This window comes from Homo sapiens, chromosome 6 (genome assembly GCF_000001405.40).
Source record: "Homo sapiens chromosome 6, GRCh38.p14 Primary Assembly".
Taxonomy (NCBI): Eukaryota; Metazoa; Chordata; class Mammalia; order Primates; family Hominidae; genus Homo; species Homo sapiens.
In genome coordinates, this window is record NC_000006.12 from 32190627 (window position 1) to 32204434 (window position 13808).

The 13808-nt window shown below is 54.2% G+C and overlaps 2 protein-coding genes across 5 annotated transcripts in view, besides 4 other annotated features; both read right to left on the reverse strand.

Moving 5' to 3' along the window:
- Positions 140-4897, reverse strand: GPSM3 (G protein signaling modulator 3). 2 transcript variants are annotated; one of them, NM_022107.3, is made up of 8 exons: positions 4800-4897; positions 4111-4203; positions 3684-3764; positions 2415-2498; positions 1846-1904; positions 1522-1624; positions 1083-1282; positions 140-877 (listed from the first exon to the last, which is right to left on the reverse strand). In NM_022107.3, exons 5-8 carry the CDS (start codon positions 1885-1887, stop codon positions 740-742), a joined length of 483 nt encoding a protein of 160 aa, NP_071390.1. In that variant the 5' UTR covers positions 1888-1904; positions 2415-2498; positions 3684-3764; positions 4111-4203; positions 4800-4897; the 3' UTR covers positions 140-739. The 2 variants fall into 2 exon arrangements, with proteins under 2 accessions (NP_071390.1, NP_001263430.1); NM_001276501.2 differs by lacking the exons at positions 2415-2498; positions 3684-3764; positions 4111-4203; positions 4800-4897 and having other exon boundaries at positions 1846-2017.
- Positions 318-496: a silencer, noted in NCBI's record as "fragment chr6:32158721-32158899 (GRCh37/hg19 assembly coordinates)". NCBI's record gives its function as "represses an EF-1alpha promoter that drives an FKBP-Casp9 reporter gene in an ReSE screen in HepG2 liver carcinoma cells {active_cell/tissue: HepG2}" and the evidence as "EXISTENCE:reporter gene assay evidence [ECO:0000049][PMID:32094911]".
- NOTCH4 (notch receptor 4) overlaps positions 4217-13808 on the reverse strand; it is a 29225-nt gene continuing 19633 nt past the window's right edge. For 2 of the 3 annotated variants that reach the window (NR_134950.2, NR_134949.2), the window contains 11 exons: positions 13511-13763; positions 13144-13256; positions 10491-10874; positions 10205-10380; positions 8300-8519; positions 8032-8104; positions 7795-7933; positions 6673-6968; positions 6299-6446; positions 5698-5795; positions 4217-5524 (listed from right to left, as the gene is read on the reverse strand). Coding sequence is in view for 1 of the 3 variants with exons in the window: in NM_004557.4 (NP_004548.3) it covers positions 4811-5524; positions 5698-5795; positions 6299-6446; positions 6673-6968; positions 7795-7933; positions 8023-8104; positions 8300-8519; positions 10205-10380; positions 10491-10874; positions 11450-11973; positions 13144-13256; positions 13511-13763 (3147 nt within the window). In the remaining 2 variants the exon portion in view is untranslated. Of the gene's footprint in view, positions 5525-5697; positions 5796-6298; positions 6447-6672; positions 6969-7794; positions 7934-8022; positions 8105-8299; positions 8520-10204; positions 10381-10490; positions 10875-11449; positions 11974-13143; positions 13257-13510; positions 13764-13808 lie in introns of all 3 variants that reach the window. The other variant, NM_004557.4, reaches the window with a different exon arrangement.
- Positions 4962-5742: an enhancer, noted in NCBI's record as "NANOG-H3K27ac-H3K4me1 hESC enhancer chr6:32163365-32164145 (GRCh37/hg19 assembly coordinates)". NCBI's record gives its function as "activates a minimal SCP1, AML or CMV promoter by ChIP-STARR-seq in naive H9 embryonic stem cells {active_cell/tissue: H9 hESC(naive)}" and the evidence as "EXISTENCE:reporter gene assay evidence [ECO:0000049][PMID:30033119]".
- Positions 5743-6524: an enhancer, noted in NCBI's record as "NANOG-H3K27ac-H3K4me1 hESC enhancer chr6:32164146-32164927 (GRCh37/hg19 assembly coordinates)". NCBI's record gives its function as "activates a minimal SCP1, AML or CMV promoter by ChIP-STARR-seq in primed H9 embryonic stem cells {active_cell/tissue: H9 hESC(primed)}" and the evidence as "EXISTENCE:reporter gene assay evidence [ECO:0000049][PMID:30033119]".
- Positions 6525-7305: an enhancer, noted in NCBI's record as "H3K27ac-H3K4me1 hESC enhancer chr6:32164928-32165708 (GRCh37/hg19 assembly coordinates)". NCBI's record gives its function as "activates a minimal SCP1, AML or CMV promoter by ChIP-STARR-seq in primed H9 embryonic stem cells {active_cell/tissue: H9 hESC(primed)}" and the evidence as "EXISTENCE:reporter gene assay evidence [ECO:0000049][PMID:30033119]".

Here is a 13808-nt window from a genome sequence, read left to right on the forward strand (position 1 = left end):
CCAGCCGCTGCTTAATGAGCCAGTAATTAACCAGCCGGGGAGGGGAGCTGGCCTCTGGCCAGACTGGGGAGAGAAAAGGCCTCTGGCCTCACCTTCCTACCTTTCACCCCGCCTGGGCCCCCCAGATACCAGTCTGCAGTCCAGAGGGGAATTATATTTATTCACACAACCAAAACATCAGACAGACTCAGCAGCAGTGGGGAGGGAGGGTGGGCAGGGCTGAAGGTCCATTCACAGCCCGTAAACCCCTCAGTCTCAGGGATCGGGGGTGCTGGTAGTGGGACTGGGAGAATAGTCTTAATCTCTCAGGTGCCCACCCACCTTCCCTTCTTACTGGGAGGAAGGGTAGAGCTGTCTCTCAGGTTATAACCTCTCAGGTGGAGGCCTGAGCCCTCAGACCCTACTGCCTAGTAGCTTGACAACTGGTGGTGTCCCCACAAGTTAGGGAAAAGACTCCCAGCCACTCCTTGAGATGGGTGCCTGGGATCCCCCTTACTGCCTCAAGCTCCCATGGACCTGTGGGCGGGGAGTTAAATCCCTGTTCCATCTCGCCTGTTCCCAGAGTTTGAGGACTTTCACCCTGTCCAGTTCCCAGGGAAGGTGATGTGGGAGATGAATATTGAGATTTGTGCCGTGTCTTTCAGTCTCTGGTACCCCTGCCAAGCAAGAGTTGAGGGCATGCAATGGGCTGCCCAGCTTTGAGACCAGTGGCAAGGAAGGGCTGGTTGGGGCTCAAGTCTCAGCAGGTGTGTGTGGGGGGCCGGGACCTTTGCTCCTCCATTCGACCCCCACCCTGAACTCTCAGCAGCAACTCCAGGAGCTCTTGCCCCCCTGGAGGGAGGGGAGGCTCTGACCGCTGGGCTTCCATCCGCTGGCACTGGAGGAGTGGAGGGAGAGGGAGAGCTTTGGTGAGGGTCTGAGAGGAGGAGGTTCTTGAGAGGATCAAGGGTTGGTATGGGGAGGCATATAGGAAACCTGTGAAGGCGATGGGGTGCCTAGGGAGAAACAGGAGTAGAGCCCCAAAGAGAACAGGGGCCAAGAGACCAGGAGGCCTGGGTTTGCCTCCTGGGGGGATGTCTTACCTGGTGACTGAGGATAGTGCTGTAAAGCTGTTCTCTGTCCTCGAGAGGACGGAGTGGGGCAGGGGCTAGGCTTGAGGGGTTTTGGGGGGTGTAGAAGGTGGCCCTCTGCTCCTCCAGGCGGCGGGACTGGGCTTCAGCCACCAGGTCCAGAAGGAGTTCAGTCTGCAGGGAGAGCAGGGAGGCCGAGCGGGGTCCCAGGGCTGGGGAGAGGGGTGTGGAGGGCTCAGAGACCCAGAGAGGTTGGCAGACAGGAGCCGTGGGGGAGTGTGGACAGGGTGACGTGATTAGGGACTTTGGATCAGAGGAGAGGGGGTGCAATGGGGAATCCCAAGGGGAGTCTGGAGGAGGTGGGGAGAGGGCCCACAATGGAGTGGGCCTTGGTAATGGGGTCAGGATGTGGGCACTAGGGTCGGGGCTCTCCCTGGGTGGGTAGGGGTACCTGTGTGGCGGGTCCCTGGAGGAGGAGGGGATGGAGGAGCAGATCGCCAAGGCCGAGTGGTGGAGTTTGGAGGGGGCCAGCCTTCCTCATCCTGAGGGGGGCCCTGATGCCAAAATATGTCCATTCTAGTCAAGCAGTGGTGGTTGAAGCGGGAGGAGTGGACAGGGGGCTAGGCCAGTGGCCCGTTTCCTCTCTGTGTGTCTCTGTTCCTGCCTCAGTTTGCCCAAGCCTTTCAAGGCCCCTGTGTCCCTACATTTCTGCCCCAGGTCCTCTCACCTCCCTTCTTTCCCAGTGTCAGCCTCCCCAACCCCGTGCCCAGCTCACCTGCTCACCATCCTCTTCTTCCTGGGGTCTCTCAGCCTCCATCCCCTAGAGGGGAGAAACTGGTGGGGGAGGGGTGGCTGGGATTTGGGAGGAGGGCTGGAACCTTGGGTTCCTGAGGGGAGTGGGGGCTGGAAGGGGTGGGGGTGAGCTGGGGGCTGGATGCCTGGGTACTGAGCAGGAAGCTGGGTTCCTGGTCAGCCCCCCCACGGGCCCCGCCCATCCCTGTCAACTTCCTCCATTCTCTTCCCACCCAAACAGCTTGTTCAGTCTCTCTCGCCCCAGGGCAGCACTGAGACTGGGAAAAACTCCTCCAGCTGCAGGAGTGGAGGGGGCTCATGGTGGGGAAGGACTCCTGGCGGTCTCATCTCCAGAGCCTCAGTAGTCCCCTAATCCCTGGCTCTGCTCCCTCCACCCCACCTCCTCTTCTGCTCTTTCTGTCAACACAGGAACTAGCTACACAGGAAGTGGTTTCACTCCTCAGAATCCCCCTCCCCCCAGCCAGGTCCCTTCCCTCCCTAAGATAGACCCTGGTGTAGGATTTGGCCCTCCCGATCTTCCCTCTTACTTACCGGGACTGGGAGGGGCATGGTTCCAGTGGGAAGTGGAGGATTCAGATCCAGGGATGTGGAGCTCTCAAATATATACATAAAACCCTAGCACCGGGTCCAACACATAGTAAGTATTCAATATATATGTATTGAATAATCATCCCTGACCTCTAGGTATTTAAAATCTATTCAGGAGATGGCCGGCTGCGGTGGCTCACACCTGTAATCCTAGCACTTCGGGAGGCTGAGGCGGGTGGATTGCCTGAGCTCAGGAGTTGGAGACCAGCCTGGGGAACATGGTGAAACCCCATCTTTACTAAAATACAAAAAATTAGCTGGGCGTGGCCACATGCGCCTGTAATCCCAGCTACTCAGGAGGTTGAGGCAGGAGAATTGCTTGAACCCGGGAGGCGGAGGTTGCGGTGAACTGAGATTGTGCCACTGCGCTCCAGCCTAGGTGACAGAGCGAGACTCCGTCTCCAAAATAAAATAAAATAAAAAATACACTCTATTCAGGAGACAAGATGTGTACCAAATAGAGTACGGGAAGGGTTCATTTTGGAAACTTATAGTTTAGTGCAGACAAGGGGCAGGGGAAATTTTATTTTGGGCATAAGAGATATAGATATGGAACAATGAGAGGCTGAGGTAGGAAGATTGCTTGAGCCCAGGAGGTTGTGGCTGCAGTGAGCCATTTGTGCCACTGCACTCCAGGCTGGGCAACAGAGCAATACCCTGTTTCAGAAAAAGAAAGAAATGAAATGAAATTGAAAAGGGAGAGGACTACCTCTCTGGCTTGGTCTTTGATCAATGCTAATCAGGCTGGTTGGCATCAAGGAAGGAGCAGGGCAGACAACCATTTGGTACCTCTAAATGGCAACCTGTCATGTTAGGGAGTTTATAGCTGAGTGATTTGGAATGTGAAATGTGATGAAGAGATCTGGTCCTGCCGCTTATTCCTTGCAATCTTGGGCAGATCTCTGTGCCTCAATTTCTGAGTGAAATAGGGTTTTAATAGCACCTACTTCATAGGGTTGATGTATTAATAATGTAATGAAGCACTTGATGCATAGTGAATACTTAATAAACTGTAGATATTATTGGCTTTCAAAATGCCTCATGACTCCATGTTTCAAACCTAGCAACATATTGCTGCAAGGTGGACAAAGTTTCAAGATACTCTCTCCATCTACTTGACTTGTGGCCTTAGGAATCTCCTAAGTGGCCATAAGTAAAAGCCCTAGGATGAGGGACAAAGTGTGTGCATCATCTAGTGCAGTGGTCTCCTACCTTTTTGGCACCAGGGAAGAGTTTCGTGGAAGACAATTATTCCATGGTCGGTGGCGACGGAGGGCTGGTTTCAGGATGAAACTGTTCCACCCCAGATCATTAGGCATTAGATTCCCGTAAGAAGCGAGAAACTTAGATCCCTTGCATGCACAGTTCACAATAGGGTTCGAGTTCCTATGAGAATTTAATGCTTATGCTGATCTGACAGGAGGTGGAGCTTGGGCAGTAATGCTTGCTCACCTCCTGCTGTGTGGCCCAGTTCCTAAGAGGCCATGGACCAGTACCAGTCTGTGGCCCAAGGGTTGGGGACCCCTGACCTAGTGTGTGCGGTTTCTCCCTTGGCTACTAGATTCTTGCTTTCAGATAATACCCTAAATTATCATAGGGCCCCTAAATATACTTATTCTTGCTTTTAAACTATACTTACATCCTCCATCCAATCCAAATGCTGAGCCAAAAGCACAAAATGCTGACATTATGCAGTCACTCCCATCTTTTTTCCCATTCTTCTCCCCAATTCCTCCAAAAAAAGGTAACACTTCAAATCAGCTTTATTATGGGTGACAGATTTAGGGTTCTTAAATAGCGATAGCAGTGGCTAGAAGAAGCGCTTCATCCCCACAGTGGAGTTCTTTGTTGTGAGGGGAGGGAATGCAAGGAGTCATCAGCGGGGGTGGCCCTTGGCCACTTTTCAGCACCTACACAGTGCCTGGCACATAGTAGGTGCCCAATAAATATTTGTCAGCCATTTGTGGGCAGTGGGGACAATGGATCATAGGGGCACCCTTTGGAAACCATATATAGGAAAGAACATCTTACATCCCATATGCCTGCAATTCTTGGTTCCAACTTAGGGGTATTTCCACTCCACTCTGCCCTCCTGTGGCCTGTCTTATTTTCTGGAGGAGGACTGGGCCTGCCTCATCCTAGCATCTTAAACCCTCTTTCCAGAGCTGCAGCTTCTCCACGTGGAAGATGTCTGCTCTGGTGGGCATACATTCATTTTAGGAGAGAAACTAAACTCACAACCCTTCATTTTGGGGGATCCATCTTAAAACCAGGAAGGCCTTCCAGCCTGCCTTTTAATGGGTAATCATTTTTGGAATTCCTCCCTACCATGTATTCTTCTATTTTTTACCCTCTCCTCCTTGGTTTATGGGCATTTCTTGGAGGGCTGGGGGACCACAGTCAAGTTGAGGTGATCCCCGCTCCGGGGACGGAGTAAGGCAAGGAGGCGGGATCGGAATGTTGGAGGCAGAACCGCAAGCTCCCAGGGCCACCCAATCACAGGGCCAGTCATCCGTTGAGACCCTGCCTCCGCGCCCGGCAGCCACTCCGTATCTTCCTCGCATTATCGCAGGGTTGGGCCGAGGCCCGCGCATGCCTGCAGAAAACCTACGGCCGCGAGGGGTCGGGCCTCCTCCTGCTCCTACTCCCGAGAGGCTCCGGCAATGAGAATAGGCCCCGCCCCCCCGCGCAGCCAAGTCTACGGACCAAGTCCGAGCCTGCAGACAAGCTCCGCCCCCACGAGGGCCTGCTCCGGCTGACAGCGTCCGGCAGCGCGGCAGAGCCCCGCCCCCATGCGGGGGCACGCTTACTGACACCGTCCGTGCGCGCGGGAAGGGCCCAGCCTCGCGGCCCGGCGTGGCTTTGTGACGGGCCTCTGGTGGCCCAGCCCCTTCCAGCAGCGTCAGCAGATCCCAGTGGTTACGTTGGTGAGCGACGTCCGCCGGCGCTAGCCCAGCCTGGTCCCGCAGCTCTCGGGCTGCCCCCAGCCCCAGCAGTAGCTGGGCTACTTCCACCGCTCCTTCCCGCGCCGCCAGGAATAGCGGCGTCTGCTCCTGTACAGAAGAGCCAGGGCCGATATCAGGGAAGGCCACGCCCACAGGACTGGGCCTTTCTGCCTTCACTTGCGCGACCACTGGCCCCTATCCCTTCAGGCTTTGCGGGTTACCGCACTTTCCATCTCTCGTGCGCCTGACTGTTTTGTGGGAAGCCCTCTGTCCCATCTAACCCTGTTGTCCTGGGCATCTTTATCGGCTCCGGCCTGGAGAAGCGAGCGGGCGGCTCGGGCGTTGTTCACGGCAGCAGCCCAGTGCAGCGCAGTTTTCCCTAGGGGACGACGTGGGAGGTTGTTACCCCAGTTGGGGGCCAGACGCCTGGGTTCCGGTTTCCCACGGGTTCTGGCCTTGGGGGAAGGGCTATTCGGGCCGGCTGGTCCCTCAAAGGCGGGAAGCGTTGCCCAGGAGACCACCGGCCTGCAGGAAGTGTTGCCCTGGTGACGTCACCAGTGCGCGGGAGGGACAATGGGGCATTGTTCTGGGGTCGGTGAGACCGGGAGACAGTCTCCCCCCACGAGATTCCCCCCCCTTTCCACAGACACTGTGTTCCATGCCAGTTCCCCAGTAAGCTGGAGCGGAGGGCCAGTGTGGTGTTGAGGGTGGGAGTTGGGGGGGGAAACTCACGCGGCCCGTACTTCCACCGCATCTCAGATTGACCGCCGTAACAGCAGGATGAGAGGGAATGCCCCTCTGCTGCACCTATATTTTGCACGCTATCTCCCACCCCATCTGCTCAACTTCTCTATAGCATACATCACCCCTTCCTCTACATACCCCATTTATCTCTGGCCCCCACGTCTGCTTGGGCTGCAATCAGTTCTTCAACCAGGTCTTCCACCGCCAGCCTGGCAGCCAGCATCAAGGGTGTGGTCCCGTCCTCTGTGCGAGCGTCCACTGCAGTTTGTCTGCTACGGAGCAGAAGCTGGGGAGACAGAGGGCCAGTGACCCCTGGGGTACCTTGGACTGCCAACTCGAGTTCCTTACACTATTAACCCCACTCGCAATCCATATTCAGCCATCCTCCGCAGTTTCCCTGTCAGGTTCCCAATCACACCAATTTCCTCCTTGTCAAACTCTAGGGGATGCTTCTGTCCAGCTTTACTTGTAAGCTCGCCCCATTCCCTGTAGGGACCTCAGTGTGTGCTAACCTGGCAGACCTCCCGAGCATCAGCAGCCACAGCAGCATGAAGGGGTGTGCGCCCTGCCCGGTCTGGCTGGTTGGGGTTGGCTCCAGCCTCAAGGAGGCGGCGGGCAGCGGTTGGCCGGGAGAATCGGGCAGCCAGGTGCAGGGGGGTCTCCCCAGTGCCCACGGTGTGAGCCTGGGGACAGGCCCCTCCATCCAGCAGAGGTTCCCAGGGCTCAGGACATCCCAACCATGCCCCTTGGAAGGTCCCGGACTGTACTTCCCCACAGCAAACTGCTGACATCAGGGGTGTCACCCCATCTGTTGGTAAGACAGAGTAATGGGTCAATCTAAAGGACACAACAAGGGGGAAGGGACAACATGTAAGCTCAGAGAGAATCAAAACCTGAGGTGTTGGGAAGCTAAGTTCTGGCTCTGTGTGGCTTTAGCCAAGTGACTTTTCTGCTTTTCTCTGACTTCAGTTTCTTCCTCTGTAAAAGGAACCTGCAGCTTAATTCTCTGACATTCCAGGGCAGTGGTTTTCTCTTTTTTTTTTTTTTTTTTCTGAGACGGAGTCTCGCCCTGTCACCCAGGCTGGAGTGCAGTGGCGCGATCTCGGCTCACTGCAAGCTCCTCCTCCCAGGTTCACGCCATTCTCCTGCCTTAGCCTCCAGAGCAGCTGGGACTACAGGCTCCCGCCACCACGCCCGGCTAATTTTTTGTATTTTTAGTAGAGACGGGGTTTCACTGTGTTAGCCAGGATGGTCTCGATCTCCTGACCTTGTGATCCACCCGCCTTGGCCTCCCAAAGTGCTGGGATTACAGGCGTGAGCCACCACGCCCGGCCTAGCAGTGGTTTTCTCAAACGAGTCTGGATCAGATTCACCTGAAGGGCTTGTTAAAACAGATTGCCTAACATTTTAAATTCCTGAGTCAGTAGCTCTGTAGTGGAGCCCAATAATTTGCATTTCTGACAAATTCCCAGGTGATGCTGATTTTGCTGTCTGAGGACCACACTTTGAGAATCATTGTTCTAAGGCACTCAGTCTAAAATTATTTCCTCTAGTTCTGATATTAAAGGACTCTCTGATTCTAATAGGGTCAAAGGACTTTTTTTTTTTTTCTTGGTCTGGGTTGACTCACATACCAGGTCCACGGGTGTCCAGGTCAGGGGCTTCCATCTCAGATTCCTGGGGAGGAGTTAGCATGGCTGCCTGAGGGAGCGCCCCACAGCCACCACTCAGAGACCAGAGCTGGCACGTGGAGGGTGGGCCTGTTTCTTCAGCCTTTGGGTAACAGCAAGGATCAGTGAAGGTTGATTTGCCCTTTCATCCCTTCCATCACCTCCAGACCATTCTTGCCCCAGCCCTTTCACCTGGCCCACCTCCTCTCCCTCCTCAGGGCCTGAGCACATCACAACTCCATCCTCATCAACTTCTGCCTTTGGCTTCAGTGCCCTGGAAAGGAATGGGTGGGTAGAGGTTACACGGAATTATGACCATCAGGGTCTCCAAAATTTCCAGCAGGCTTCCCACCCCTCTCTCCTTCCCCTATCTTTGACTTCTGCAATAGTATTTCTTATCTTTTCTGATTGTAAATATCGCCATAGGAGAGACTCCCCTTCCTGAGCCTGGGTTTCTCCTCATTCTCACTTGAGACCAATGCTGTCCTCGCCTAGTGGGGGCCGGCGTCGGTGGGGAGCTGACTGAGTCCGAGGCCGTCGAGTGAAACCAGGGGGCAGCCAGAGAGCTCCATGCTCTCGGCGTCGACGCCGGATGAGCTGGAGGACGAGAAGAGCCCCTAGGGCCAGGAGAATCACCCCGGCCACTGGGGAGCACAGCACAGGCCAGGGAAGCTGGTTGGCAGGGGGTGCTGGTGGGAGAGACAGAGTCACAAAGAGAGGCCACTCCTGGTGAGACTGATTACTATTGGGAGACCTTTGGACAAGTTTAGTAGCCGGTCTTTGCCTCGGTTTCCTTATCTGCAAAATGGGGATGATAATATAGATTGAGGTTGGGCACAGTGGCTCATGCCTGTAATCCCAGCACTTTGGGAAGCTGAGGCAGGTGGATCATATGAGGCCAGGAGTTCGAGACCAGCCTGGCCAACATGGCAAAACCCCCTCTCTACTAAAAATATAAAAATTAGTGGCTGGGTGTAGTGGCTTACTCCTATAATCTCAGCACTTTGGGAGGCTGAGGCGGGTGGATCATGAGGTCAGGAGATCGAGACCATCCTGGCTAACATGGTGAAACCCTGTCTCTACTAAAAATACAAAAAATTAGCCAGGTGTGGTGGCGGGCACCTGTAGTCCCAGCTACTTGGGAGGCTGAGGCAGGAGAATGGCGTGAACTTGGGAGGTGGAGCTTGCAGTGAGCCGAGATCGCGCCACTGCACTCCGGCCTGGGCGACAAGGCAAGACTCTGTCTCAAACAAAACAAAACAAAAACAAAAAAAATTATCAGGGCATGGTGGCATGCCATTGTAATTCCAGCTACTCAGTAGTCTGAAGCAAGAGAATTGCTTAAACCCAGGAGGCAGAGGTTGCAGTGAGCTGAGATGGCGTCACTGTACTCCAGTGTGGCTGACAGAGTAAGACTGTCTCAGAAAACAAACACACAAAAAAAGGCTGAGTATCCATAACCCCAATCCCAAATCTGAAATGTTCCAAAGTCTGAAACTTTTAGAGTACCAACATAACGCTCAAAGGAAATGCTCATTGTAGCATTTGGATGTTGTATTAGGGATGCTGAACCAGTAAGTATAATGCAAATATTCCAAAATAAATCCGAAATCTGAAACACTTTTGTTCCCAAGCATTTCAGATAAGGGATACTCAACCAGCAGTACGTGCCTCATGGGGTTGTGGGGGAGGATTAAATGAGGTAACAATGTAAAATGCTTAGAGTAAGGCACAAAGTACGATATAGCAGTTATTTTTCTTTTTTTTTTTTTGAGATGGAGTCTCCCTCTGTCGCCCAGGCTGGAGTGCAGTGGCGCGATCTCGGCTCACTGCAAGCTCCACCTCCCAGGTTCACGCCATTCTCCTGCCTCAGCCTCCTGAGTAGCTGAGACTACAAGCACCCGCCACCACAGCCGGCTAATTTTTTTATTTTTAGTAGAGACAGGGTTTCACCGCATTAGCCAGGATGGTCTCAATCTCCTGACCTCGTGATCCACCTGCCTTGGTCTCCCAACGTGCTGGGATTATAGGCATGAGCCACTGCGCCCAGCCTATTATTCTTTCATGTACTATGAATTGTCTGATACAAAGACTATTAGGTATTCTCAGTCTGGTAGAGAAGATAAACCATCCCTTTGTTGGAGGGCTATGACAGAGGTTAGGATAATGTGCTTAGGGAAATAAGGAAGGAGACTGTAGAACAAATGGGCCAGTGGGAGATTCAGTTAGAGAAAGCGGGGTTAGGGAAAGTAAGTCCCCACAAAGAACATTTTCAGTCTCAGCTGTCCTGTTTGATTCAGCCTCCATTGCCTGTTGCTAGCATGAGAGCTGGCCTGGGAACAGAGGTCAGAGAAAGTGGCAAGGGGTCACCTACCGGTCCCTGCATGAGGGTGGACAGCCAGCAGTGGTCCAGGCAGCAGGGGCTCCAGGGCTCCCACTGCAGCCATCGCAGCAAGGAAGCGGAGTAGAAGCCCAGGGTCCCAGGGACAGCGGGATGCCGGGTGGTCAGGGCCACAGCGGGACAAATCCACACCCATGACCACCACAAACCTGTAGAGGAGGCACCTCAGAGACCTCTGTATTGGTCCCTGGCTCCCTTTCCTCCCTCTGCCCTCTTAAAAAAACTGGTGTCTGGCCCTTCCCTCCACCTAGCTTCTTACCCAGCACTGAGGGAGTCGGTCTCCTTGCCCAGGGGCTGCGTTTGAGGGGCTGCTCTCTCCTGATAGGTGGGGTCCCGAGTTCCTCCTAGCTTTTCTTCAGCCCGGGCCCCAGGATAGGGGTACACCATGTCCCTGCCATCACGATCCTTCCTTACCCAGAGTCCTACCCTCAGAGTCAGGGACAGCACCCGGGCCAGGGCAAACAGCTGCTGGTCTAGGGCTGGGGGGCTCAGTACCACCAGCAGGGCCAGGGAGGGCCCCCACTCTGGGTCCCCATCTTCAGGCCTGCAGTCACCTCCATCCCAGCCACACTCTGCAGTGTTGCAGCCTTTCTCACAGTGCCCGTTGTGGAAGTGATCATGGCAGTACTGGTCATAGGCTGGACTGTGGGGTAAGGAGAGGGGGACTCAGGACCTCCCTAAAACCTGACTCTTTTCTTCACCCTAGAAAGAATTCCCCATATTTTGTGCCCTCTAGGGCTTTGGTTGCTAAGTGGGGGCAGCTGTGGAGCAATGAGCTTAGTCAAGTCCTGGATGGTAGTCCAGACACCCCAATGTCTGCTAACACCCCTGTCTCCCTAGACTGTCCCCTCTCTGTACCCTCCCAAGCTCTCCTCTGTTTCTAAAGGAGAGTCCCAGGCCCTTTTCCCTCTGTGAGGTGCTGACTGCTAGGGGAAATACTCCATGGCAGCAAGGCTTAGGGAAGGAGGCTTGAGACCTGAGTTCCTTCAACTCTTAGAGAGGAGCCCAAAGGCCACGCCCCACATTAAATACTGATGCCACCCCATTACCCTAGGTTGGAGTCCAGAGTCTTCGACCCCTGTTTAGTGATGGTTATTAGGGTGGAAACTCCCTGGAGCCCAAGGCTGTGGCCACACTGTAACTCAGAGCCATCTACGTCCTTCCTCCTCCTCTCACCCACCCCTCTCCTTCCCTGGCTCCAGTGGATTTCAGGCTCACGTGCAGGCTGGAGGGGTCTCACAGTCGTAGCCATCAAACAGACACTCTTCAGAGTCACACTGTGGGTGGCACTGCCCGTCCCGGAAGAGAAGCCAGCACCGAGAGTGGGAGGGGCAGCCCTTCCAGGGGTCTGGGACTCCCAGAGAGCAGTCCCCTCCATCCCAGTTTCCTCCCGGGCCACTGCAGCCAGCATCGCAGGCCCCATCTCCACTTCTGCCCTCACACCCCTTGGCTCCGGGTTTCTGACACCGGGGCCCTGGAGAGCTGTGAGGGCAGGAGCATCGAAAGCCTGGGCCCCCCAAGCCCGTGGTCTCTGAGCAGCTGCCATTGTATAGGCATGGGGAGGGAGGGCCACAGCCTTTAGGAGCTGGTGGGGTCAGGCAGTCAGGACCCCCATAGCCACTGAGGCAGGCACAGCGTGGTGGGAAGCCTGGCTTAGGGGAGGGCAGACACAGGCCTCCGTGGTGGCAGTGATGGAAGCCGCAGGAAGGGGCCCTGTGGCTGCAGGTGGGGCCTTCAAAACCCTGTGGAGGGGAGGGGAGATATTGGAGATGCAACTTGCATTATTCTTCCCGCTCTCCATCAAGCAAACTCTTGGGTTAAGACGGTGCAGAGGGTCCTAGATTCTCATATCTAAAAGGCGCCTCAGAGAGCATCAAGTTAATCATTTTGTGGATGTTGAAACCATGTCCTGTGGTAATTTCACACAATGACATATTACATTCTGTTGAAAATGGATGAAGCACAGCTGTGTGCAACAACCTGATGGACTGTGGCATTACAGTGCAAGTCCTAGAAGACTAAACAGTTAATAGAATGCTATTATATTATTATTATTATTATTTTTGAGACAGAGTTTCGCTCTTGTTGTCCAGGCTGGAGTGCAATGGTGCAATCTCAGCTCATTGCAACCTCTGCCTCCCGGGTTCAAGCAATTCTCCTGCCTCAGCCTTCCCAATAGCTGGGATTACAGCCATGCACCACCACGCCCAGCTAATTTGTATTTTTAGTAGAGACAGGGTTTCTCCATGTTTGTCAGGCTGGTCTCGAATGCCCGACCTCAGGTGATCCGCCTGCCTCGGCCTCCCAAAGTGCTGGGATTACAGGCGTGAGCCACTGTGCCCGGCCGGCTGTTATATTATTATCTTACTCCTTAGAAATAGGATCATATGTCTTCCTCTTCCTCTGGAGAGGGAACAGGATACAGGAGGAGGACTTAAGTAGATGTAAGTTATTATTAATATTGAAATTCTTGGGTTAGGTTCATGGGTGTTACATTGTTAGAATAATAAAATAAAAGAAGACCAGGCATAAACCAATGTCAGTGTATCAGGAACCAAAGCTTAAGATTAGTCTAATTCCATGCATCTGAGGTCCATAAATACATATACAAACACACACAGAGTTAAAATAACCTATCTGAGGCCACCCACCACGCAGCTTGAGCTTGGGGAGCTCCTGACCTTCCCTTAGGCAACGCCTGTGATTTTTGAAAATTCCATTCATGCTATCAACTGATCCTGCCTTGCCTTTGACTGCTTCTGAGAGACACTTCCCACTGTGAGCTTGGCATGGCTTTTTCCAATAATTTCCACATCAGTGCTCACCCACAGTCCCTTCTGGGATTCCAACTGAGGTATTCTTGCCTTGTCAGCATAGGGGGCAACAGAGAAGGCAGATTTGTGGTCACTTGCCTTGGGGCAGTGGCAGATGAAACCCAGGGGTGATCCTGCTGTGGCCTCACAGGTCCCTCCATGAAAGCAGGGTTGGCTGTGGCAGGGGTCTATCTCCACCTCACACCACTGGCCTGTAATTATGGGGGAGATTAGATGTCACACACTGCATCAGTCACTGCCTCCATCCTAGCTCATTCCTGGATGTTGGCCCAGTGCTAGATGTGCAGGTGAAGGGATCCTGGGGCATCTTTTCTGGGCGGGGGTGGGCGTGGAGGCAGGGGATGGACCAGGTGACGGCTGCCGCATGGGTGGAGACTATCTGGCTCTCCATGGTCTGCTTGGCTGTGCTCCAGACACACTTGTGCCCCTTGTCTTGGGGCCTCACCTGTGTGTCCAGGCAGACACTGGCAGTAGAAGGCATTGGCCAGAGAGTGGCAGGCTGCAGTGCCTGTGGGGTGGCAGGGCTGGTCCAGACACTCGTCCACGTCTCCCTCACAGCGTAGCCCCACAAAGCCTGGAGGGCAGGCACAGTGGAATCCTCCAGGTTTGGGAGTACAGGTTCCATGGTTGTGACAGGGTTGGGACTGACAAGCATCGAGTTCCTTTGAGCAGTTCTGTCCATCGTAGCCTGGGGCACACTGCAGACAAAGAGGATTAGACAGGGAACCAGTGGATGAGCCCAA

Excerpts from the sequence above, each read along its gene's own strand:
- GPSM3 (NM_022107.3), bottom strand. The coding sequence starts at position 1,887 with ATGGAGGCTGAGAGACCCCAGGAAGAAGAGGATGGTGAGCAG. Across the intron at positions 1,625-1,845 it reads AAGAAGAGGATGGTGAGCAG|GGCCCCCCTCAGGATGAGGA; the intron begins GTGAGCTGGGCA and ends TTTTGGCATCAG. Across the intron at positions 878-1,082 it reads GCACTATCCTCAGTCACCAG|TGCCAGCGGATGGAAGCCCA; the intron begins GTAAGACATCCC and ends CCACTCCTCCAG.